The following is a 27898-nucleotide window of genomic DNA, read 5'->3' as shown; positions in this document are numbered from 1 at the left end:
GCAGAGACTGGAGTGATGCGGCCACAAGCCCAGGGACACCTGGAGCCCCCAGGAGCTGGGAGAGGCAGGAAGGATCCTGCCCTAGAACCTCTACAAGGAAGTGGATACAATTGTAATGGATTGAACAGTGGCCCCCAGAAAGATCTGTCCACATCCTAAAGCCCAGAACCTAGAATGAGATATCGTTTGGAAATAGGGTCTCTGCAAATGTGATTAAGTGAAGGATCTTGAGATGAGATGATCATGAATGAGGGTGGACCCTAAATGCAATGACAGGTGACTTTCTAAGAGACAGAAGAGGAGACACAGACACAGAGGAGAAGTCCACGTGGAGACGGAGGCAGAGACTGGAGTGAGGCGGCCACAAGCCCAGGGATGCCTGGAGCCCCCAGGAGCTGGGAGAGGCAGGAAGGACCCTCCCCTAGAACCTCCAGAAGGAACTGGATACAATCGGAATGGGTTGAACCATAGTCTCCCCGAAAAGCTATGTCTACATCCTAACTCCCTCAACCCATGAATGGAATCTTATTCGGATATGAGGTCTTTACAGATGTAACTAAGTCAAGGATTTCGAAATGAGATGATCCTGGATTAGGTGAGTCCTAAATCCATTGACAGGTGTCCTTCTAAGAGACAGAAGAGGAGACACAGACACAGAGGAGAAGGCCACGTGGAGAACAGAGGCAGAGACTGGAGTGATGCGGCCACAAGCCCAGGAAGCCTGGAGCCCCCAGGAGCTGGGAGAGGCAGGAAGGACCCTCCCCTAGGGCCTCTGGAGGGAGCTCAGCCCTGAGACCGCTTCATCTCAGACTCCTGGTCTGCAGGACTGGGAGAGGATAAATTTCTGTTGTTTTAAGCTCCCAGTATCTGTGAATGAGAACTTATTTGAAAATAGGGTCTTTGCAGACACAGTTAACTCAAGAAGTTTGAGATGAGGTCATCCTGGAGTAGGCTGGGCCCTAAATGCAATGGCAGGTGTCCTTGTAAGAGACAGAAGAGAAGACACAGACACAGAGAAGAAGGCCACGTGGAGAACGGAGGCAGAGACTGGAGTGACGCGGCCACAAGCCCAGGAAGCCTGGAGCCCCCGGGAGCTGGGAGAGGCAGGAAGGACCCTCCCCTAGAACCTCTGGAGGGACTGTGGTCCTGCCTACACCTTGATCTCAGACTCCTGGACACCGGGACTGGGAGAAAACAAGTTGCTGTTGTTAGAAGCCCAGAAACTCCTACAATACAGGGCCCAAGACCACTCCTTTCCTTCCCCCTCTTCCCCAGGAGCCTGTCCCTACCAAAAAAAAAAAAAAAAAAAAATTAGCCAGGCGTGGTGGTGCATGCCTGTGCTCCCAGCTACTCGGGAGGCTGAGGCAGGAGGATTGCTTGAGCCCAGGAGTTGGAGTCTCACTGGGTGACAGAGCAAGACTTCGTGTCTACAAAAATAAAAATAAATCAATGAAACACACAAGAGGACAGAAACACAGGAAACGCGTGACGTAGAAAGCACGTAGAAAATAAATAACAAACTGGGAGACTGAAGTCCCTCCTAAAATCCTCATAAGCCAGCCAAAAGGAAGAAAATTTGGCGCTTGCTACAACAAACGTGAGTCTTGGAGCAGTGACGAAGCCAGACACAGAAAGATAAACACTGTGGGGCCGGGCGCCGTGGCTCACGCCTGTAATCCCAGCACTTTGGGAGGCCGAGGCAGGCGGATCATGAGGTCAGGAGATCGAGACCATCTCGGCTAACACGGTGAAAGCCCGTCTCTACTAAAAATACAAAAAAATTAACCAGATGTGGTGGCGGGCGCCTGTAGTCCCAGCTACTCGGGAGGCTGAGGCAGGAGAATGGCGTGAACCCGGGAGGCGGAGCTTGCAGTGAGCCGAGATCGCGCCACTGCACTCCAGCCTGGGCGACAGAGCAAGACTCCATCTCAAAAAAAAAAAAAAAAAAAAAAAAAAAGATACACACTGTGGGATTCCATTTACAGGAGGTCCCTGGAGTCCTCAGAGTCATGGAGATGGAGAGGAGGTTGATGGCAGCCGGGGAAAGGGAGTGAGTGTGTAAGGGGAACAGGGTTTCTGTTTGGGAAGATGAGAAACTTCTGGAGATACGGATGGTGGTGATGGCTGCAGAAGCCAACTGCAGTTCAAACTGCTGTGTACATTTACACACGGTGAATGCCGGCCGGGCACGGTGGCTCACGCCTGTCATCCCAGCACTTTGGGAGGCTGAGGCAGGTGGATCACCTGAGGTCAGGAGTTCAAGACCAGCCTCACCAACATGGGGAAACCCGGTCTCTACTAAAAATACAAAAAATTAGCCGGGCGTGGTGGCGGGCGCCTGTAATCTCAGCTACTCGGGAGACTGAGGCAGGAGAATCGCTTGAACCCAAGAGGCAGAGTTTGCAGTGAGCCGAGATCATGCCATTGCACTCCAACCTGGGCGACAAGAGTGAAACTCTGTCTTAAAACAAAATACATGGTTAATGCTCTAGACTTTGTGTTATGTGCGTTTTACCACAATTTGAAAAACACTGGAGGCCGGGCACAGTGGCTCACGCCTGTCATCCCAGCACTTTGGGAGGCTGAAGCAGGCGGATCACCTGAAGTCACCCATCGAAGACCAGCCTGGCCAACATGGTGAAACTCCATCTGTACTAAAACACTGGGGGGAAAGTGTCAGGAAGCGGCAGGTTAAGGAAAGGAAATGGTACGATTTTCTGGCCGGAAACGGGGAAAGGGGTCGGGAAGCGGCAGTCGAAGGAAAGGAAATGGTACGATTTTCTGGCTGGAAATGGGGGTGCTGTGTAGCTGTCACCTCTGGGTAAACAGCTCCTGACACGTGTTCAATAGGATTACGTTAAAACAAGTGGGTCGTGATTGATAACCTAATATCCAGACCGTGCGGATCATCTATCACCAGGAGTATATTAATTATTCAGAGGAGGTCCCTTATCTAGGTGTTAAGCCCTGGATGGATTAGATATTTGTTAGCATTAGGATAGCATCCTAATGCAATCCCACTCCTTGGCCCGCAACCCACTGACAGGCCCCGGTGTGTGATGTTCCCCTCCCTGCGTCCCTGTGTTCTCATCGTTCAGCTCCCACTTAGGAGTGAGAACATGCGGTGTGTGGTTTTCTGTTCCTGTGCGAGTTTGCTGAGAATGATGGTTTCCAGCTTCATCCATGTCCCTGCAAAGGACATGAACCCATCCTTTTTCGTGGCTGCATAGTATTCCATGGTGTCTGTGTGCCACATTCTCTGTATCCAGTCTATCATTGATGGGCATTTGGGTTGGTTCCAAGTCTTTGCTGTTGTGAACAGTGCCTCAATAAACATACGTGTGCATGTGTCTTTATGGTAGAGTGATTTATAATCCTTTGGGTATATACCCAGTAACGGGATGGCTGGGTCAAACGGTATTTCTAGTTCTACATCCTTGAGGAATCGCCACGCTGTCTTCCACAATGGTTGAACTAATTTATTTACACGTACTCCGATTTGCCTTAGATAAAGCTACAGGATAGCCAGGCAGGAAAAAGCACATACACATCAGCCCAGAAGGACTCGCCTAGATCGTTTTTATGTTAAACAAAGCAAAAGTAATAATAATAATAAAATTAAAATAATAAAGGAGACAGACTTTGTGGTTGCAAATCTGTCTGAATGTTTCTTGGGTGTTATTTTTTCCCCATCCCCGCCCCCCTCCAATTTATTGCTGAAATCAGCCGGTTAAATGGTGGCTCAAGAAGTCAGGCTCTCTCTGGTATCCAATTATCTCCTCCTTTCCTAACCAGAAACAACAGGTGTCCACCAGGTCTGCAAACAGCGTAGAAAAAAAAAAATACATATCCAGTCGTTTAAAAATTGTAAATCTATGCCGTATGAATTTAAACCAGACGTGCTTCAGCTGAGGGGCAGGCTGAGTTCCAGCCAACGGTTTCGAGCAGGAAGGGCAAGAAATAGCTCTCATTATATTTCCTTAGCTGACTGTTATTCCAGGAAACCTTTGCTTAAAGGTGCCGGTGCCCAGTTAATGATAGTTGCCTTCCCCAAAGTCAAAGCTATTTTGTGAAAAGGAGTGTATGACACTATTTGCTAGCATTTAGGAGACCTGCATTATTTAGAATTGAATCTTCAAGAGAGGAACAGACTGCAGACATAAACATCCTCATTATTTTGAATCCGAGTCATCTTCCACAGCCACAAAAAAAAAAAAAAAAAAATTATTAAAGCAAACCTTTTAGGGATCGTTGGTCTGTGATTCATTTGGATTATTATTTTTTTTTCCAGCTTCCTTTCTTTTCCTTAAAATCTCACAGACACTCGGAGCTCTGGATAAACGCCGGCTTACGGGTGGCGCACGGTATTTTAGCTGCATTGGACATTATTTATTTTCCGTGAAAACCCTGTGCTTTCAACACAGTTCACCGAATATGCAGCTCTCCTCATTCCATCCGCTGCCAGTGCTTATCCTAGTTTCTGAGAACATTAAAATGAATGCAAACCTCTCTGCCCCTGCCATCTGGGCCCATTCAGCCCTCACCGGGGCCCGTGTGTTCATCACACCTGCTGCCCATAGCTGGAAAGTTGGCGGTAGGTCTTCTGAAATACGTGTGTCAGGATTAAAGTTATCCATTCAACCCCACTGCCGCCCTCTGGAAGGGAAGATGCCTCTTTCACGCCCCCACTCACCTCCAGCTCTGGGCTAAGGGGGTGACCCTATGAGGCAAGGAAGCCACTTTGGGGATGCTCTGAGCCCTGGTCCCCCTCATTCCCCGAATGCCACCTCCCGGGTACCTGGTGGAGACGTTCGCATGATGTGGGACTTTCCAGGTACCGCATAAGAGAAGGTGCTGGCCAGGAGCGGCGGCTCACACCTGTAATCCCAGCATTTTGGGGAGGCTGAGACAGGAGGATCGCTGGAGACCAGGAGGTCGAAGCAACCGTGAGCTGTGATCACACCAGGGTACTCCAGCCCAGGTGACAGAGCAAGACCCTGTTTAAAAATATATATATTTATATATTTGTATGTATATATAACATTAAAACATTATATGTATATAGCATTAAAATGTTATATATGTCATATATAAATATAAAACATTTATATATAACATTAAAACCTTATATATATAACATTAAAACCATATATATATATATATTTTTTTTTTTACAGATAGTTGTTATTTCAGACCTTGTCTCAAAAACAAAAAAAGAGGCCAGGCATGGTGGCTCACGCCTGTAATCTCAGCACTTTGGGAGGCCGAGGAGTGAGGATCACTTGAGCCCAGGAATTCAAGACCAGCCTGGGCAACATAGTGAGACCCTGTATGTACCAAAAGAAATCAAAAACTTAGCTGGGCGTGATGGTGCATGTCTGTAATCCCACATACTTAGAAGGCTGAGGTGGGAGGATCGCTTGAGCCTGGGAAGTTGAGGCTGCAGTGAGCTATGATTACACCACTGCACTCCAGCCTGGGCAACATAGTGAGGCCTGATCTCCACAAAAGATCAAAAACTTAGCCGGGCGTGGTGGCGCACACATGTAGTCCCAGCTACTTGGGAGGCTGAGGCAGGAGGATCGCTTGAGCCTGGGAAGTTGAGGCTGCAGTGAGCTATGATTACACTGATGCACTCCAGCCTGGGCAACATAGTGAGGTCTCATCTATACAAAAGATCAAAAAATTAGCCAGGCATGGTGGTGCACACATGTAATCCCAGCTCCTTGGGAGGCTGAGGCAGGAGGATCGCTTGAGCCTGGGAAGTTGAGGCTGCAGTGAGCTATGATTACACTGTTGCACTCCAGCCTGGGCAACACAGTGAGATCCTATCTCAAAAAAAAGAAAAAAGACAAAACAAAAAACACAACATTTTTTAAAAGAGAAGATGCTGTTTCAGGACACGGTAGTCTCCGCTCACTTAGGCATATCTGGGACCGGGTATATCTGTGAGCAGGTTTGTGTGAAGTCATTTTCCAAAGACAATACACCAATTTCCGAAAGGAAGCAGTGAGCCGTAGCAGCTCAGGAACCCCAGACTGGGTTCACCTTCCTATATAGCTCCGTGGGGAGGGATCCCGTCTAGCGTCCTAGGCGTTCGTAGGGTACAGACCGCAGACACAGAGGGAAGGCGGGGGCCGTAGGAGGGCCGGGATTGTGTTGTTTTTCACTGCAATGACATAAAACGTATTATATGAAATTCACCATAAATTTCACAACATAAAACTCACCACTTTAACCGCCGTGAAAATCTCAGTGGCATTGAGAACATCACTGCGCCGTGTAACCACCCCCTCTGTCTACTTCCAGAACATCCTTCTCCCCATAAAAGGAGACCCCCTCCCCAGGAAGCAGTTCCTCCTCATTCCCTCCCCACAGCCTGTGGCAACCACTCATCTGAGCTCTCTCTCTGTGCATTGGCCGCTTCCGGACAGTTGACGTAAGGGGATTGTACAATAAGCCAAAGGAAATATCGCTGAGTGTGACTTCTTCAGGGTGTATCCACGTTGCAGCCTAGGTCACAGCCTCATTCTTTTTCATGGCTGTATAGTACTCCACTGGGTGGGCACAAAGTGAGTGAACCACTGTTTGTTTATCGATTCATCCACTGAGGGACACCTGGATGGTTTCCATGTGTGTGCTCCTACAAACGTGAGCGAGCAGATATCTCTTCCAGTCCCTCTTTCTTTTTTTTGAGACGGAGTTTCACTCTTGTTGCCCAGGATGGAGTGAAATGGCGCCATCTCGGCTCACCACAACGTCCGCCTCCCGGGTTCAAGGGATTCTCTTGCCTCAGCCTCCTCAGTAGCTGAAATTACAGGCAGGCACCTCCACGCCCTTGGCTAATTTTGTATGTTTAGTAGAGACGGGGTTTCTCCATGTTGGTCAGGCTGGTCTCCAACTCCCGACCTGAGGTGATCCACCTGCCTCGGCCTCCCAAAGTGCTGGGATTACAGGCGTGAGTCACTGTTCCCGGCCCCTCCTTTCTATTCTTTTAGGTACATACTTAGCTGGGGTATTACTGGGTTCTATGGAAATTCTCTGTTTCACACTTTCAGGAGCCCCTGTGGTCCCATGAAAGCCAGATAAGAATCAACAGGCCCGGCACAGCGGCTCACGCCTGTAATCCCAGCACTTTGGGAGGCCAAGGCAGGTGGATCACCTGAGGTCAGGAGTTCGAGACCAGCCTGGCCAACAGGGTGAAACCCCATCTCTACTAAAAATACAAAATTTACAAGTGGTGGCGGGTGCCTGTAATCCCAGCTACTCCGGAGGCTGAGGCAGGAGAATGGCTTGAACCTGGGAGGCGGAGGTTGTGGTGAGCAGAGATCGCGCCATTGCTGTCCAGCCTAAGGGACAAGAGCGAAACTCCATCTCAAAAAAAAAAAAAGAAAAAATCTACATCCACAGGACCCCGGCACTGGGGCAGGGCAGGAAGGAGGGGCAACAGCAGGTCTTGGCGGGGCTCCTGGCTGCTCACATGTGGTGAGCCGGTCTCAAGGCCAGGCTGGAGGCTCTGAAGGAGGTTTCAGCTGACCTCAAGGACTAGCAGCTCCTTCCCCTCTTACTAACACACAGGCATTCATTTACCAGAATGAATACTGGAGATAAATTTTCCAGCCTGGGGGGTGGAGGGAACAGCTGTTTTTTGCTGCCCCATTTCACATAAAGCAAAACACTACATGAGGCCCACGCTATTCCCACGAGCCTCTCCCCATTTGCTTTCTGATGGCCTAACTTTCCATCCAGCCTTGGTGTCTGGGGAGCTTCAAGATTCCAGAACCCGGCTGGGCGCGGAGGCTCACGCCTGTAACCCCAACACTTTGGGAGACCGAGGCGGGAAGATCACCTGAGGTCGCGAGTTCGAGACCAGCCTGGCCAACGTGGTGAAATCCCGTCTCTACTAAAAATACAAACATTAGCCGGGTGTGGTGGCTCATGCCTGTAATTCCAGCTACTCGGGAGGCTGAGGCAGGAGAATGGCTTGAACCCGGGAGGTGGAGGTTGGAGTGAGCTGAGTTGGCACCATTGCACTCCAGCCTGGGCAACAAGAGCAAAATTCCATCTAAAAAAAAAAAAAAAAAGGATTCCAGAACCTTCCTCCCAAACAAGGAAGGTGGGAAAGAAACCCAGGCCGTCCCTGACAACTTTCTGAGCATGAACAAGTCAGAAACAGAACTTGGGGGGGCTGAGGTCTATGGAGCCTGGAGGAGGGCTACACCCCAATTCCCGATCCTACCCCAAAGGTCACCCCAGCAGCCACATCATTTTTAGCCCTAGGTTTGAATAACTACATAAATATGGTTTGTAAAAATGAATAGGTGTTATTTGTGATAATAATCCCAGGCAGGGCACGGTGGCTCATGCCTGTCATCCCAGCAGTTTGGGAGGCCAAGGCAGGTGGATCACTAGAGGTCAGGAGTTCGAGACCAGCCAGACCAACATGGTGAAATTCCATCTCTACTCAAAATACAAAAGTAGCCAGGTGCGGTGGCTCACACCTCTCATCCCAGCACTTCGGGAGGCTGAGGTGGGTGGATCATGAGATCAGGAGTTCGAGACCAGCCTGACCAACATGGAGAAACCCCGTCTCTACTAAAAATACAAAATTAGCCGGGCGTGGTGGCGGGCGCCTGTAATCCCAGCTCCTCGGGAGGCTGAGGCAGGAGGATCGCTTGAACCCGGGAGGCGGAGTTTGCGGTGAGCCGAGCTCATGCCACTGCACTCCAGCCTGGGCGACAGCGCGAGACTCCATCTCAAAAGTAGATAAATATATAATCCCAGCACTTTGGGAGGCTGATGTGGGAGGATCACTTGAGCCCAAGGGTTTGAGACCAGCCTGGTTTGCAATATAGTGAGACCCCCATCTCTACAAAACATTAAAATATATATATATATATATATATATATATATATATATATATAGCCAGGTATGGGCCCGGCGTGGTGGCTCACGCCTATAATCCCAGCACTTTGGGAGGCCGAGGCAGGTGGATCACCTGAGGTCAGGAGTTCGAGTCCAGCGTGGCCAGCTTGGTGAAACCCTGTCTCTACTGAAAATACAAAAATTAGCCAGACGTGGTGGCGGGTGCCTGTCATCCCAGCTACTCGGGAGGCTGACACAGGAGAATCGCTTGAACCTGGGAGGCGGAGGTTGTGGTAAGCCAAGATCACACCGCTGCTCTCCAGCCTGGGTGACTGACCCTGCCTCCAAAAAAAAAAAAATAGACAGGCATGGTGGCATGCACCTGTAGTCCCAGCTAGTTGGGAGGCTGAGGAGGGAAGATTTCTTGAGCCTGGAAGATCAAGGCTGCAGTGAGCTATGATTGCACCACTGCCCTCCAGCATGGGCGACAGACCAAGAAGCTGTCTCAAATAAATAAAATCATAAAATGAAAATAAATATTGCTAATACATAATGCAATGGTCCACAAGGTCGCTGGCCTGTGGATTGTGAGCAGAACGGCCTGTCTTTGCGTTCAGAACCTCACACTTACACACCCCTGCTCCCGGCCTCTGTGTCCCTCTGTCTCTGACACACACAGACACACACACACACACACACACACAAAGTATGTGATACTTTCTCCTGTCAATCTCAGAGAACTCCAATGAGACTGTAGGAAACGTGAACACATACGTGATCAATTCTGACAGTTCTTGGCAGCCGGGCAGCTGAGCCCTGGCTAGCATCTCTCTCTCCCCATCCAAGATTGAGTTTGGACGGAAACTCAGTCCTCATTTAAGAAGCAATTAAAGGGCCTTATAGACTGCTGGAGAATGAAGTGATTAATGCAAAGAGTCTCGTTTAATAGGGATATTAAGTAAACTGCTGCTTAAAACGCCCATTTATCATCCACGGATTCCTATTTGCCTTCCCGTTCCGCCAGCATGAGCATTTTCAGGAGGCAGGAGGTTTCCTGAGCGCGGCCGTTGCAAATGCCAGAAATCAAGCCGGTGGGTTTTTAGCTAATTCTGAGGGAGGCTAAACGGAACCCATAGCACGAGAAGGGGGTTGCCATGAGAGTTCGTGACAACTTCGAGATGCAGAGAACACACAGGATGTCGGCAAGGGAGTCCGGCCCCAGCTGCCCGCCGGGGAACACAGGGCGTACCACACCCCCAAATCCCTTTCCCCAAACACTGTGGGGACCCAGACGGGTGGCTGCTAATTCTGAAAATCGCGTGAATGTTGGCCGGTGTGGTGGCTCACGTCCGCGATCCCAGCACTTTGGGAGGCCGAGGCGGGAGGATCACTTGAGGTCAGGAGTTGGAGACCAGCCTGACTCACATGGTGAAACCCCACCTCTACTGAAAATACAAAAAAAAATTAGGCAGGTGTGGTGGCGGGGGCCTGTCATCCCAGCTGCTCGGGAGGCTGAGGCAGGAGAATCGCTTGAATCCAGGAGGTGGAGGTTGCGGTGAGCCGAGATCGTGCCATTGCACTCCAGCCTGGGCGACAGAGTAAGACTCAGTCTCAGAAAAAAAAAAAGGCCAGGTGTGGAGGCTCATGCCTGTAATCCCAGCACTTTGGGAGGCCAAGGCAGGCGGATCACCAGGTCAGGAGTTTGAGACCATCCTGGCCAACATGGTGAAACCCTGTCTCTACTAAAAACACAAAAATTAGGCAGGCGTGGTGGTGGGTGCCTGCAATCCCAGCTACTCGGGAGGCTGAGGCAGGAGAATCACTTGAACTCAGGAGGCGGAGGTTGCAGTGAGCCGAGATTGCACCACTGCACTCCAGCCTGGGCGACAGAGCAAGACTCCATCTCAAAAAAAAAGACCTTCAGAGAAAATCCAACACCACCAAATGTCAGATGTGGCAACTTATAAACAACAGACAAATGCTGCGCGCAGTGGCTCCCACCTGTAATCCCAGCAGTTTGGGAGGCCAAGGCAGGTGGATCACCTGAGGTCGGGAGTTCGAGACCAGCCTGGCCAATATGGAGAAACCCCGTCTCTACTAAAAATACAAAAATTAGTCAGGCATGGTGGCAGGCGCCTGTCTTCCCAGCTACTCGGGAGGCTGAGGCAGGAGAATTGCTTGAACCCAGGAGGTGGAGGTTGCAGTGAGCTGAGATCACGCCACTGCACTCCAGCCTGGGTGACACAGCGAGACTCTGTCTCAAAAAATAAAAACACATATTTCAATCATCATCTTTATTTCTTTTTTAAATCATGGCAACTTTTATTTCGGATTCAGGAGGCTCATGTGCACATTTGTTGCTTGAGTATAATGTGTGATGCTGAAGTTTGGGGCATGAAGGATTGTGCCATCCAAGTACTGAGCATGGGACCCAACGTATGATTTTTCCGCCTTTGCCTCCATCCTTCCCTCCCCCGTCTAGCAGACGCCAGCATCTATTGTTCCCATTTCTATGACTATTTGTACCCAATTTTAGCTCCCTCTTATGTGGGCCTCCACTGAGGCAAGAGAATGGCGTGAACCAAGGAGGCGGAGCTTGCAGTGAGCCGAGACCGCGCCACTGCACTCCAGCCTGGGCGACAGAGTGAGAATCCGTCTAAAAAAAAAAAAAAAAAAGAAGAAGAAGAAGCGCCTCCAGCTGCATCCGTATTTCTGCAAAGGACATGATTTGATTCTTTTTCATGGCTGTGTAGCATTCAATGTTACAGATGGATCATATTTTCTTTTTTTTTTTTCCGAGACAGAATCTTGCAACCTCTGCCTCCCAGGCGCGACCTCAGCTCGCTGCAACCTCCGCCTCCCGGGTTCAAACGATTCTCCCGCCTCAGCCTCCGAAGTAGCCAGGGTTCCAGGTGTTCACCACCAGGCTTGGCTACTATTTGTATTTTTTTTTCTTTTTTTGAGCCGTAGTCTCACTTTTGTCACCCAGGCTGGAGTGCAATGGCATGATCTTGGCTCACTGCAACCTCCACCTCCCGGGTTTAAGTGATTCTCCTGCCTCAGCATCTCAAGCAGCTGGGATTACAGGCACCTGCCACCACGCCTGGCTAACTTTTTTTTTTTTTTTGAGATGGAGTCTCACACTGTCACCCAGGCTGGAGTACATTGGTGCGATCTCGGCTCACTGCAACCTCCACCTCCCAGGTTTAAGTGATTCTCCTGCCTCAGCCTCCCGACTAGCTGGAACTACAGGTGCCCACCACCATACCTGGCTGATTTTTTTGTATTTTTAGTAGAGATGGGGTTTCACCATGTTGGTCAGGCTGGTCTCGAACTGCTGACCTCGTGATCCACCCGCCTCAGCCTCCCAAAGTGCTGGGATTGCAGGCGTGAGCCACCACGTCCGGCCTCAAGACTCTTTCTAATCCCCACCTCCTCCTAAAGCACCAGCCATCCTGCATAGAACCAAGAAACCCCAACAGGTTTCCTAACGAAATTGCCTGAGCTGTAACTTCTGCCAAATAAAATAAGCGTGTGGCAGACGGCGACCGAGGACTTTGCGTGAGCACGGACGGAGATTAGGAAGCAGCCGACTTTCCTGAGCAGCCTCTGCCTTCAGGAGCGTCTCGGCACGGCGGGCACGCACCTCACCCACCCTCCCCGGGGAGTCCTCCTTTGGCACATCCCTGGGGTGCCCTGGGGAAGTCACCGGGCCAGGGCCAGGGCTGGAGATGGCCGGTACCACAGTCTCAGAAGAGAGCAGTGAGGGCCCACAGGTGCCCAAGGGTCTCTCTCTCCAACAGAGCCTCCTCCTCGGGGAAAGGACTTCTGAGAGCAGGTGCAAACGTGTGCACGGCCCACCACGGCGTGTCTGCTCCTGACAGACTCATCCCGCAAGCCCAGGACGAACAAGGATGGGAGGATCCTGCGGAGCCGACAGTGACGTCACTCCCGAGACGCAAAACAAAGCAAAGGGGGGCTGGAGGTGGCACTTCCTTCAGGCAAGAGGGGCTCTGAGGAGAGGCCGCCAACGTTCACTGACATGCATGCACACACACAGACATGCAGGCGAATGCACACACAGGTACACAGATACACAGAAACATGTACACACATACGTACAAGGCACACCCACATTCACACAGACACACACATACAGACACATTTGCACACACACACACATATACAGGCAGATGCACGCACAGACACACAGATACACAGAAACGTACACACGTACGTACATAGGCATATGTACACTCACACAGACACACATATATGAACACATGTGCACACAGACACATATACAGGCATATGCATGCACAGACATACAGAAACATGTACACATATACGTGCATAGGCATGCCCACCTCACGCAAATACACACACATGAATGCCACTCACACGCATACACACAGAGACACACAGGCATATGCATGCACAGACATGCAGAAACATGTACACACATGTCCATAGGCACATTCACACACTCAAGACACAGGCGTATACGCAGACACACAGAAACATGCACACACACACGTGCATAGGCATGCCCACACTCACACACACATCCACTCACATGCACGCACACACACATGCAAGCATATGCACACAGAAACATGTGCACACATATGTGCATAGGCATGTCCACACTGAGACACGCACATACACTCCCACGCATGCACTCAGACACGCATACAGGTGCATGCATGCACAGACATGCAGAAACACATACACACATAGGTGCATAGGCACACGTCCACCCTCACACTAACATACACACACACTCACACGCATGCACACAGAGACACACAGGCATATGCATGCACAGACATGCAGAAACATGTATACACATGTCCATAGGCACATTCACACACTCAAGACACAGGCGTATACAGACACACAGAAACATGCACACACACACGTGCATAGGCATGCCCACACTCACACACACATCCACTCACATGCATGCACACACACATGCAAGCATATGCACACAGAAACATGTGCACACATATGTGCATAGGCATGCCCACACTGAGACACGCACATACACTCCCACGCATGCACTCAGACACGCATACAGGTGCATGCATGCACAGACATGCAGAAACACATACACACATAGGTGCATAGGCACACGTCCACCCTCACACTAACATACACACACACGCATGCACACAGACACACATGGGCGTATGCACACACAGAAACATGCACACACACACGTGCATAGGCACGCTCACACTCAGACACACACACATACACTCACATGCATGCACACAGACACACATACAGGTGCATGCATGCACACATACATACACACATGGACACACATAGACACATGCTGACGCCACACACAGATGCACACACACGGGCGCGTGCGCACACACGGACACACACAGAGGCACGCAGACACCACACACACATGTGGACACACGTGCACACACACACGCGGACACGCTCACGCTGCATGGAGGCCGTCCAGCCTGCCCTTCCCGCAAACACCTGACATGCCCTTGCTGGAGTAAAAAATACAGATGCAAATGACTCTTTTACAGGGGGGTTAGCGCATCATTTCTCCCCACTCTGCATCTTGCGTGTGTGACGGGGCACGGGGCGGCAGCCGGGGCCGGGGGTCGGCCAGGACGGTGCTGGGTGAACCAGGGCTCCCCCCACCGCAGCCTCCGTGTGGACCGGTCGTCGACATGATGTGTCATAATTTGGCCTCCGAAGCTGACAGGCCCGGCTGACTGGGGGCATTAAATCATTGCCCCGAGGGACTCTCACTCTGGCAACGCGCGCTGGTACGGCTGTCATCTCCTCCCACACAGTACCTATCATTTTTGACATGATTGGATCAAAATTAGTCAGTGCATTTAGATGTAAATTACACACATCCAAGAATCGTAATGAGCACGAAAAAAAAAAAGAAATACAGCCCTGTAGAGTTGACACGGCCCACGGCTTCCATCCGTCCTGCACCGCGTCCCCGGCTGATGAGCCCCCTGATAATGAAACTGGCGTATCAAAAAAAAGTCAGGAAACTTTTTTGAGGGGCATATTTAACCGAGCCTTAAATTCCCATATAAGTCTGTAATGTTGGCTCACCCAGAAGTCCCCGCTTTACCCAACGGCTCCCAACACAGAGAGAGACATAGCTGGTCTCTCCTGAAGCGTGGCTCAGCCCTGGCACGGCTCTCACCTCTGCTCACGTATCTCGGGCCTTTTCTCCCCATTCCCCCTGGATTCCTTCCTAATGCAGAATTCTCTTCCGAGGCACAAGGAGACACTGTCCACCTGGGCTTGTGACCCGGGCATTCTCGGGGTCAGCTTTGCCGGGATAGGGCAGGGGGCCACTGCTATCTTTCTCTGCAGGCTGGACGGCTTCAATGGGGGAGCTGAAATTATCTACTCAATGCCTACTTCCTCCTGGAATTGGGACTCAGCTGCCAGAAAACCTTCCCGAAACAGTCCCTCTAACGCTGAGGACCTTCCAGGTCCAGCCAGCCTCATACTCCAGGCCAAATGTCTCCCGCCGGCTCCAGATACACACAGGTTTGGGGTCAGGACCTCGTACTAACCCTCCTCAGCCAACCCACAGCTTTGAGAGCTGGTTTCTAACAACTGCATTATTTAAGCCGGCTCATGAACGACGGCGTTATTTCAGCACCAAACTAGCCTACTTTGCCTGTAACTGGTTTTACATTTGTTTTTTTTAAACATGGCCACACACACACACAAAAGAAGGGGAGAAACGCTTCTGAACACATACCTTTAAATATTCCTTAATCAGACACGCTTGATAAAACTGACAGGGCTGTCCAGAGGGCAGACACAAAACTCTTTCTCCTGCAAACCGTGGAAATCTTGGTGCGTAGAAACAGCTCTCCCCGCTCATGCGGGAAAACCTCACTTCAATTTGACATCCGGAGGTAACGACGGGGCACCTGCGTGCATCCCCAGCTCAGCCTTTCCACGGGGCCAGGCGGGCTTGAATTGAGTTAGGTAATTAGTGTGTGTTTGGCCTGTCACCCGTGTTTAGGGCAATAGCCTGGTGCATGAAGCCGTCATTAAACATCTCGGGCTGTGATGACCGCGTGTGTGGGGAAATTCTGGGGCCGGCAGGCGGAGAGGGGTGTCCCAAGGCAGGCCAGGGCTGGAGGGTATATAGAACCACCGTGGCAGCCAGGCTCTGGGAGCTCTCCGAGGTCTCTGAGACAAGATGATTACCGGAGCCAGAAGGTTAAACTGTCTTCACGCTTCCCCCAGCAGGTTGACAGCGTAAGGTAAAATACTTGTGTTTCACTGGAGCAATTCAAAACTCCGTCTACGATACACAGACAGAGCCCCCAACATCCAGGTTTTCACAGCAACGTAAAGAAATCCTGAAATAAAGCAAAAATGTACCTGAGCATTTTTTTTCTTTTCTTTTCTTGAGACGGAGTTTCGCTCTTGCTGCCCAGGCTGGGGTGCAATGGCGCAGTCTCGGCTCACTGAAACCTCCGCCTCCCGGGTTCAAGCCATTCTCCTGCCTCAGCCTCCCGAGTAGCTGGGATTACAGGCACCTGCCACCACGCCCAGCTGATTTTAGTATTTTTAGTAGAGACGGGGGTTCACCGTGTTAGCCAGGCTGGTCTTGAACTCCCGACCTCAGGTGATCTGCCCACCTCTGCCTCCCAAAGTCCTGGGATTACAGGCATGAGCCAACGCGCCTGGCCTATTTTTTGAATTATTATTTTATTTTTAAGACAGGGTCTGGCTCTGTTGCCCAGGCTGGAGTGCAGTAGCTCAATCATGGCTCACTGCAGCCTCGGACGCCTGGACTCAGGCGATCCTCCCTCCTCGGACTTCCCAGTGTCTGGGACTACAGACGTGAGCCACCACGCCTGACTAATTTTTTTTTTATTTTGTGTAGAAATCGGGGTCTTGCTATGTTGCCCAGGCTGGTCTTAAACTCCTTGGCGTCAAGCAATCCTCCCACCTTGGCCTCTCAAAATGCTAGGATTGCAGGATTGCAGGCGTGAGCCACCGGCCCGGCCGCCCTTGGCCATTTCTGACCTCCGAGCTGAAGGACTCAGTATATTTGAAATGCGGTGTTTGCGGCCAGGCGTGGTGGCTCGGGCAGGTAACCTGCGGTCAGGAGTTCGAGACCAGCCTGGCCAGCATGGTGCACAGATATGGCGTGCACCTGTAACCCCAGCTACTTTGGAGGTTGAGGCATGAGAATCACTTGAACCTGGGAGGCGGAGGTTGCAGTGAGCCGAGATAGTACCATTGCACTCCAGCCTGGGGGTACAAGAGCAAGACTCCTTCTCAAAAAAAAAAAAGAAAGAAAAGAAAACAGAAAGCAAAACCAGTGTCTTATTTTCTCCATGAAGGAATCCCGTACTTCCATATCAGTGCTAAAATCATAGGGGGCTTAAACCTATCGATGCCTAGCATTCCATTATTGGAACGCTAAGCATCTGGCAGTTATTTACCGCCTATTGTCAAAGTCATTGCCAAGGTCTGGTTTTTCACACATATCTGCAAATACAAGAAACTGCCACCTCCAGCATAAAACAGGACATCTTTGGGAAGCACGATGCCGGCCCTTCAGTTTCAACTCAGGACAAAATGAAGATTTTATTTTTTATTTTTAATTTTTGAGACGAATTTTCACACTTGTTGCCCAGGCTGGAGTGCAAAATCTCGGCTCACTGCAACCTCCGCCTCCCAGGTTCAAGCAACTATCCTGCCTCAGCCTCCCGAGTAGCTGGGATTACAGGCACCCGCCACCACGCCCAGCTAGTTTTTGTATTTTTAGTAGAGACGGGGTTTCACCATGTTGGCCAGGCTGGCCTCGAACTCCAGACCTCAGGTGATCGGTCCGCCTTGGCCTCCCACAGTGCTGGGATTACAGGTGTGAGCCACCGTGCCCAGCCCAAAACAAAGTTTTGAGACCTCTTCTCAGAAAAAGAAAATCATCCTGTTTGCAAACCATTGAATAGACAGGTAGATAACTGACTGATGGACAATTGATAGATATGATGAAAGATGATACATAGTTGATTTGATAGGTAAATAGATGATTGATAATTGATACAGATGATTGATGATTGATGCATAAATGATATAGATCAAGGATTGATGATTGATAGCTGATTGATAGGTATGATGGATAATTGATATAGATAGATGATTGATGATAGTTGATAGGTATGATGCATAATTGATATAGATGATAATTGATAAATAGTTGATTGATAGGTGTGATGGATAATTGATATAGATTGATAGGTAGTTGATTGATAGGTATGATGGATAATTCATATAGATAGATGATTGATGATAGTTGATAGGTATGATGCATAATTGATATAGATGATTGATAATTGACAAATAGTTGATTGATAGGTTTGATGGATAATTGATATAGATGATTGATGATTGATAGATAGCTGATCGAAAGGTGTGACGGATAATTGATATAGATTGATGATAGGTAGTTGATTGATAGATATGATGGATAATTCATATAGATAGATGGTTGATTGATAAGTATGATGGATAATTGATATAGATAGATGATTGATGATTGATAGGTATGACAGATAATTGATATAGATTGATGATTGATAGATGGTTGATTGATAGGTATGATGGATAATTGATATATGATTGACGATTGATAGCTGATTGATAGGTATGATGGATAATTCACACAGATAGATGATTGATGATATATGATTGATAGGTTTGATGGATAATTGATATAGATGCTTGATGATTGATGATTGTTAGTTGATTGATATGTATGATGGATAATTAGTATAGATAGATGATTGATGATAGATAGTTGATTGATAGGTATGATGGATAATTGATATAGACAGATGATTAATGATAGCTGATTGATAGGTATGACAGATAATTGATATAGACAGTTAATAGGTAGATAATTGACTGATAGATCACTGATAGGTGATAGATAGACAAACAGAGATTGTCTCAGCCTCAGGCAGTGTCTTTCAGCCCTGGTACTTCCGACACATGGGACTGGACGATTCTCTCTGGTGGGGCTGATCTGTGCACTGTAGGGTGTTGAGCAGTGTCCCTGGGCTTCACCCACCAGCGACCAGAAGCACCCTCACTCCACAATCCAGACAACCAAAAGTGTCCCCAGAGACTGACAAAGTGTCCTCAGAGGAGACAATCGGCAGCAGCTGAAAAGCACAGATTAGATAGATAGGTAGATAGATGATAGATAGATAATGGGTCAATAAATAGATCTGTAGATAGATGATAGATAGATAATAAAGATTGATGATAGATAATAGATAAAGGTAGATAGGCAGATCTAGATAAATAGGTAGATTGGTGGATGATAGATGATAGATTGATTGATTTATATATGATAGAGATAGATAGGTAATGGATGGGTAGATGATAGATGAATGATAGATGGATAGATAGATGATAGATAATAAAGATGGGTGATGGATGGATGAATGACAGATGATGGATAAATTGATTTATAGATGATAGAGATGATAGATGATGGATGGATGAATAGATAGATGTATGATAGATAATGGATAGATGGATAGATGGATGGATGGATGGATAGATGGATGGTTGGGAGAGAGAGAGATTATAGATAGATGATAGGTGGATAGATAGATAATAGATACATAGATAGATACATAGATAGATGATAGATAGATGATAGGTAGATAGATACATAGATACATAGATACATAGATAAATGATAGATGATAGGTGGGTAGATAGATAGATAGATAGATAGATAGATGCATAATAGATTGAGAGATTGATTGATTGATTGACAGATGATAGAGTCCCTCAGATAGTGTCTCTCAGCCTCACCTCTGCTGACATTTGGGGCTGGAGGATTCTCTGTGGTCACTGTAAGGTGGTGAGCAGCATCCCCGGGCTCCACAAACCAGGTGCCAGGAGCACCCCCCTCCCAGTTACCACACCCAGAACCGCCCCAGACAGTGCCGAGTGTCCGTCGGGGTGCATGTTCATCCCCAGTTGAGAACGGTCGCTCCCCAGTTCCCCCGGAAGCCATCCTCATTTCTAAAGTTCCAAGAACCTGGCCAGGCCGTTTCACCTCTCCACAAACATCTGACTTCTGCTCTGCTATATATTTAGAATCCTCTCCATTCATATTTATACCCACAGAGTCCTCTGCTGGCTGAACCCCTGGGCTCAATTTTTCAGCACGAAAAGAGCCTTTTTATTCCCATGGATTTTCACATGAAAACAGAGTGCATCGGATGGAGACGCACAATCCAAGAGGCAGCTCCACCGGCAAAAGGCCTGGAGAAAGTGCAGCTCCTGTGGGCTCCTGGGAACTCAAGGGCAGCAGGATGATGGGTGGGTACCACCGAGAGGAAAACTTCAGAGCAGGTGCAGAGGCTGACAGACGGCAGGTGCAGAGGCTGACAGACGGCAGCCTCCACCACAAACCAGAGCAGCATAAACAGACACAGTCTCAAGCCACAGCATGAGACATAAATAATGGCATTGCTTCCTTACCACAACACTCAGAGGCAGGCGCTATTTTCAGGTACATTTTTCCCGATGAGGAAATGAGGGGTTCATAGATGGTGAGAATTTCTCCTAATGCAATCCCTTCCACAGCCCCACAGCCCTCGACAGGCCCGGGTGTGTGATGTTCCCCTTCCTGTGTCCATGTGTTCTCATTGTTCAACTCCCACTTAGGAGTGAGAACATGCAGTGTTTGGTTTTCTGTTCCTGTGTGAGTTTGCTGAGAATGATGGATTCCAGATTCATCCATGTCCCTGCGAACGACATGAACTCATCCTTTTTGATGGCTGCATAGTATTCCATGGTGTCTATGTGCCACATTTTCTTTATCCAGTCTATCATTGATGGGTTGACTTGCTTAGAAAAACTTCCCTGTTGCCAAATACTGAGTGATGAAGAAAAACTCTGGGACTCATCTAGAAAGACGGTGAATTCAGAGAGCCGACATCATGGTGCACGCTAAGCAAAGACGACGGGCTTTGAAAACCTGCTGGGAATAGCAAAAGACTTGGGACCAACCCAAATGCCCATCAATGATAGACTGGATAAAGAAAATGTGGCACACAGACACCATGGAATACTATGCAGCCATGAAAAAGGGTGAGCTCCTGTCATTTGCAGGGACATGGACGAAGCTGGAAACCATCATTCTCAGCAAACTCACACAGGAACAGAAAACCAAACACCGCAAGTTCTTACTCCTAAGTGGGAGTTGAACAATGAGAGTATTTTTTTTAATCTTTATTTTTGCAGAGATGAGAAGCTAACTCTATTGCCCAGACTGGAGAGCTGTGGTACGATCTTGGCTCACTGCAGCCTCGACGTCCTGGGCTCAAGGAATGCTCCCACCTTAGTCTCCCCAGGAGCTGGGACTACAGGTGGAAACCACCACATCTACCTGATTTTTTTTTTTTTTTTTTTGAGACAGAGTCTCACTCTGTCGCCCAGGCTGGAGTGCAGTGGCGTGATCTCGGCTCACTGCAAGCTCTGCCTCCCGGGTTCACGCCACTCTCCTGCCTCAGCCTCCCGAGTAGCTGGGACTACAGGCGCCCGCCACCGCGCCCAGCTAATTTTTTGTATTTTTAGTAGAGACGGGGTTTCACCGTGTCAGCCAGGATGGTCTCGATCTCCTGACCTCATGATCTGCCCGCCTCGGCCTCCCAAGATATTTTTTTTATAGAGCTGGGGTCTTGCTATGTTGCCCAGACTGGTCTCAAACTCCTGGCTCCAGCGATCCTCCCACCTCAGCCTCCCAAAGTGCTGGGATTGCAGGCGTGAGCCACTGCACCCGGCCCCAAAGCACTTTTGGAAGGAATTTGAGGAGCAGATGCAGTAAGTGTCTCATGCATTATTTATTTTGCTTAGGAAGCATTTAAAATAATCCCCCTGCCAGGCACAGTGGCTCCCACTTGTAATCCCAGCACTTTAGGAGGCCGAGAAGGGAGGGAGGATCCCTTGAGCCCAGAAGTTTGAGATCAGTCTGAGCAACCTCATGACACCCCATCTCTACAATAAATTAATTAAATTAAATTAAATAATTCCCCAAGGTCCTCAGAACCACATTCAGTGATACACTTCCAAATACAACACATATAACTATGTATTTCTGTTATACATATAATAAAAGATATAACAAAGTCACATACAGTTGGTGCGGTTTGATCTAAACTATTCAAAGAAAAGTGACGTCACTGGGCACGGTGGCTCATGCCTGTAATCCCAGCACTTTGGGAGGCCGAGGCAGACAGATCACCTGTGGTCACTAGTTCAAGACCAGCCTGGCCAACACGGTGAGACCCCATCTCTACTAAAAATACAAAAATTAGCCAGGCGTGGTGGTGAGCACCTGTAGTCCCAGCTCCTCAAGAGGCGGAGGCAGGAGAATCACTTGAACCCAGGAGGTGGAGGTTGCAGTGAGCTGAGATCGTGCCACTGCACTCCAGCCTGGGTGACAGAGTGAGATTCCATCTTGAAAAAAAAAAAACCAGAAAAGTGACATCCTCACAATCTGTTGCTTCATTGGTGCAACCTCACCAGAGAGTTCTGAGGCCAGTGTGGACGCGGCTGCCATTTTTCTCTATATGATAGAGATAGACAGGGAATGGATGGATGGAGGGATGGATGGATGGATAAATACATACAGGATAGATAGATAAATAGACAGGTGATAGATAATAAAGATAGATGTGGGTGATTGATAGATGATGGATAAACTGATTGACTTACAGATGATAGAGATGATAAATAGAGGAGGGATGGTTGAGTAGATGCATGGATGGATAAATACATACAAGATGGATGAATAGATGGATAGATACATAGAAGACAGATAGATGATAGAATAGATGGATGGATGGATGGATAGATAAATACATGCAGGATAGATAGATGGATGAATAGATGATAGATAGATAATAGAATAGATGGATGGATGGATGAATACATACAAGATAGATGGATGAATAGGTGGATAGATACATAGATGATAGATAGATGATAGAATAGATGGATGGATGGATAGATAAATACATGCAGGATAGATGGATGAATAGATGGATAGATACATAGATGATAGATGATAGAATAGATGGATGATGGATAGATAAATACATGCAGGATAGATGGATGAATAGATGGATAGATACATAGATGAAGATAGATGATAGAATAGATGGATGGATGGATGGACAAATACATACAGGATAGATGGATGAATAGATGGATAGATACATAGATGACAGATAGATAGATAGATAGATAGATAGATAGATAGATAGATACATAGATAGATACATAGATAGATACATAGATAGATACATAGAATGGATAAATACACACAGGATAGATAGATGGATGACTAGATGGATAGATACATAGATGACAGATAGAATAGACGATGGATGGACGGATGAGAGAGAGATAGATGATAGATAGATAGATGATAGGTGGATAAATAGATAGATAATGGATAGACAGATAGATGATTGATTGATTGATTGACAGATGATAGATAGAGTCCCTCAGTCAGTGTCTCTCAGCCTCAGCTCTGCTGACATTTGGGGCTAGAGGATTCTCTGTGGCCAAACAGACCCCAGAGTGGTGTGTGGTGTGGTGTGGTTTAGACAAACGAGGCAGATGTTTTGAAATGCCAGCTTCCCTTGGTGCTCTGTGGACCCTCCATGGGCTTGTATTTAGTCCCAAATGGAGATCACGCCTGTCCCATTGAAGTGGCCTGTTCACATCACAGCTCCCCACCCTTCAGGAGGAATCAGACGCCCACCTTCGACCCATGGTGGGTACAATGTGAACTCCGTGTGCCTTGGGCCACCTTGTGGGCTGAGGTTGACGTGCACCTGTCATCCCAGCTACTCCGGAGGCTGAGGCAGGAGAATCACTTGAACTCGGGAGGCGGAGGTTGTAGTGAGCCGAGATCGTGCCACTGTACTCCAGCCTGGGCGACACAGCGAGACTCTGTCTCAAAAAAATGAAAAAAAAAATAAATAAAATAAAATGTCTATCCTAAATGAAATTTGCTGTGAGTATGGTGGGTACAGCTTGGGAAAATGAGTAGGTGTTTGGTGAAAAGGGAGGGGGGGAGGTCTCCCCTTTCTCTCAGCTGAGTGAAATCGAAGAGGAAAAAAATCTTAAAAGAAGGGGGAGGACTTGTAGGCTTATGCTAAAGTCCTGGAGTTGTAAAAGATAAAGGAAAGGGGACAGACAGGGTGGCTCACGCCTGTCATCCCAGCACTTTGGGAGGCCGAGGCAGGTGGATCACATGAGGTCAGGAGTTCGAGACCAGCCTGGCCAACATGGTGAAACCCCATCTCTACTAAAAATGCAAAATTAGCCAGGCGTGGTGGCAGGTGCCTGTACTCCCAGCTACTCAGGAGGCTGAGGCAGGAGAATCTCTTGAACCCGGGAGGCAGAAAATGCAGTGAGCCGAGATCACGCCATTGCACTCCACCCTGGGCAACAAGAGGAAAACTGTCTCAAAAAAAAAGAGTGGGCAGGACTTCTTGTTTTTTCGGGGGGCTTCTTGTTCTTGTTGTTTTCTGTTTTGAGACAGAGTCTCGCCCTGTCGCCCAGGCTGGAGTGCAGTGGTGCAATCCTAGCTCAGTACGGCCTCGGACTCCCGGGCTCAAAGGATCCTCCTGCCTCAGCCTCCCGAGTAGCTGGGACTACAGACCACCCCCCCCCCCCATCTACACCCGGCTAATTATTTTTTTTTTTATTTTTCTAGAAACAAAGTATCACTACGTCACTCTGTTGCTCAGGCTATAGTCTCAAACTTCTGGTCTCAAGCAATCCTCCGACCTCAGCCTCCCAAAGTGGTAGGATTACAGGCATGAGCCACCACGCCTGGCCAAATGTGTGTTTTTTTGAGCCACTCTGTGAACGGCCATTTGTTACACCTGCTGAAACAGCTTCGTAAGGGTGAGGCTTGTATTTCCAGAACACTATCTTGCTTGATCCTTGTAGCAAACCTACTACGGTATAGATGCCTTAGGCATATTTACAGATGTGTTGGCTGAGTGCAGTGGCTCACCCCCCTAATCCCAGCACTTCAGGAGTCTGAGGCGGGAGGATCAGTTGAGCCCAGGAGTTCGAGGCTGCAGTGAGCTATGATGACACCACAGAGCTTCAGCCTGGGAGACATAGCGAGACCCCATCTCTATCTGTTGGCTGAGTGCAGTGGCTCACCCCCCTAATCCCAGCACTTCAGGAGGCTGAGGTGGGAGGATCAGTTGAGCTCAGGAGTTCGAGGCTGCAGTGAGCTATGATGACACCACAGAGCTTCAGCCTGGGAGACATAGCGAGACCCCATCTCTATCTGTTGGCTGAGTGCAGTGGCTCACCCCCCTAATCCCAGCACTTCAGGAGGCTGAGGCGGGAGGATCAGTTGAGCCCAGGAGTTCGAGGCTACAGTGAGCTATGATGACACCACAGAGCTTCAGCCTGGGAGACATAGCGAGACCCCATCTCTATCTGTTGGCTGAGTGCAGTGGCTCACCCCCCTAACCCCAGCACTTCAGGAGGCTGAGGTGGGAGGATCAGTTGAGCCCAGGAGTTCGAGGCTACAGTGAGCTATGATGACACCACAGAGCTTCAGCCTGGGAGACATAGCGAGACCCCATCTCTATCTGTTGGCTGAGTGCAGTGGCTCACCCCCCTAATCCCAGCACTTCAGGAGGCTGAGGTGGGAGGATCAGTTGAGCTCAGGAGTTCGAGGCTGCAGTGAGCTATGATCACACCACAGAGCTTCAGCCTGGGAGACATAGTGAGACCCCATCTCTACCAAAAAAAATCATTTAGAAAAAAACAGCCAGGCATACTGGCACACACCTGTAGTCCAGCTACTCAGGAGGCTGAGGCAGGAGTATGGCTTGAGCCCAGGAGGCTGAGGCTGCAGTGAGCTGGGATCACATCCCTGCAGTCCATCCTGAGCGACAGAGCAAGACCCTGTCTCAAAACAAAAAATGCAAGGACCCTGATCACGTCACTGCACTTCAGCCTGGGCAACAGAGAAAAGCCTCATCTGTACTAAAAATAAAAATAACGGGCCGGGCGTGGCGGCTCACACCTGTCATCCCAGCACTTTGGGAGGCCGAGGTGGGTGGATCACAAGGTCAGGAGATCGAGACCATCCTGGCCAACACGGTGAAACCCCGTCTCTACTACTAAAAATACAAAAAATTAGCCGGGCGTGGTGGCGGGCGCCTGTAGTCCCAGCTACTCTGGAGGCCGAGGCAGGAGAATGGCGTGAACCCGGGAGGCGGAGCTTGCAGTGAGCCGAGATTGCGCCACTGCACTCCAGCCTGGGCGACAGAGAGAGACTCTGTCTCGAAAATAAATTAATTAATTAATTAAAATTAAAATTAAAATTAAAATTAAATTAAATTAAAATTAAATTAAATTAAAATTAAATTAAAATTAAATTAAAATTAAATTAAATTAAATTAAAATTTAAAAAGCCAGACATCTTGTCTTGGGCCACCTGTCTGAGCTTGGAACCCAGGAGGGATACTCCCCACGGTGTACACCCGTGAAGCCCCCTCTCAACACCGATCCCTTTGCTGAATACAAAAGGCTCTTCATTTCCAGAGTATAAAGTAGATCTCTCTTGAATTTCTAGATATCCTCAGACAATAACAACCAATCATTAGAGGTGGCCCCACAGCCTTGCTCCCCAGTAGGGTGGAAGGCAGAGGCGCTCAGAGGCACCCCCAGCTCGGGGGCGAGTCACCTATGACCACAATTGCCATCATTAGTGAGCTGGGCTCAGCTCCTCAGAAGCTGGAAAGCACGCTCGCAAACACCCTTTGATCATTTCTATTTCTAGGCCTTGAGTGATTCAATAAAACATACCTCTAAATTCAGATCCTTTCTGCGATGCCCTGTTTCGACTTTGAAGTTAAATTATCTAAAAGGAGTAACTGCCTAAGTTTTCTAGGCAAACTTCTCCATACTCGCGGCTTTTTCGTGGGAACTGCACTCACTGAAAGCAAGGTAATGTTCCTGCAAAATAGTATAAAGAGGCCGGTCGGGTGCTACGGTTCGTGCCTGTAATCCCAGCACTTTGGGAGGCTGAGGTGGAAGGATTGCTTGAGCCCAGCAATTGGAGAGCACCCGGAGCAACATAGCAAAACCCCAGGTCTATAAAAAATAATTTTTTGGCCAGGAGCAGTGGCTCACACCTGTAATCCCAGCACTTTGGGAGGCTGAGGCGGGTGGATCACCTGAGGTCAGGAGTTCGAGACCAGCCTGGCCAACATGGAGAAACCCCATCTCTACTAAAAACACAAAAATTAGCTGAGCGTGGTGATGGGTGCCTGTCATCCCAGCTATTCAGGAGGCTAAGGCAGCAGAATCGCTTGAACCCAGGAGGCAGAGGTTGCACTGAGCCAAGATTATGCCATTGCACTCCAGCCTGTGCAACAGAGTAAGATTCTGTCTCAAAAAAAAAAAAAAAAAAAAAACCAGAAAGAAAATTAGCTGGGCATGGTGGCGGGCACCTGTAATCCCAGCTACTCAGGAGGCAGAGGCAGGAGAATCACTTAAACCCAGGAGGCAGAGGTTGCAGTGAGCTGAGATCACACCACTGCACTCCAGCCTGGGCGACAGAGCAAGACTCCATCTCAAAAAAAAAAAAAAAGAAAAAAGAAAAAAGAAAATTAGTCTGGCATGGTGGGCACCTGTAATCTCAGCTACTCAGGAGGCTGAGGCAGGAGAATCACTTAAACCCAGGAGGTGGAGGTTGCAGTGAGCCGAGATCTCACCATTGCACTCCAGCCTGGGCGACAGAGCAAGACTCCATCTCAAAAAAAGAAAATTAGCCTGGCATGGTGGGCACCTGTAATCTCAGCTACTTGGGAGGCTGAGGCAGGAGAATCACTTGACCTCAGGAGGCGGAGATTGCAGTGAGCTGAGATCGTGCCACTGCACTCCAGCCTGGGCAACAGAGCGAGACTCCATCTC

General features: G+C 48.8%; 1 long non-coding RNA gene across 1 annotated transcript in view; it reads right to left on the bottom strand.

Annotated features, from left to right (window-relative positions):
* Positions 1–2952: 2952 nt before the first annotated feature.
* The window catches only part of LOC102724521 (uncharacterized), a 42736-nt gene continuing 17790 nt past the window's right edge, over positions 2953–27898 (bottom strand). Inside the window, exons 7-10 of the long non-coding RNA XR_001755744.2 lie at positions 15639–16251; positions 6049–6169; positions 4799–4997; positions 2953–4192 (exon numbers count right to left, since the gene is read on the bottom strand). This is a non-coding gene — a long non-coding RNA (uncharacterized LOC102724521). The remainder of the gene's footprint in view (positions 4193–4798; positions 4998–6048; positions 6170–15638; positions 16252–27898) is intronic.

Source organism: Homo sapiens, chromosome X (genome assembly GCF_000001405.40).
Source record: "Homo sapiens chromosome X, GRCh38.p14 Primary Assembly".
NCBI lineage: Eukaryota > Metazoa > Chordata > Mammalia > Primates > Hominidae > Homo > Homo sapiens.
Note: the sequence above shows the minus strand (reverse complement) of the source record. Positions and strands in the feature narration are given on the sequence as shown.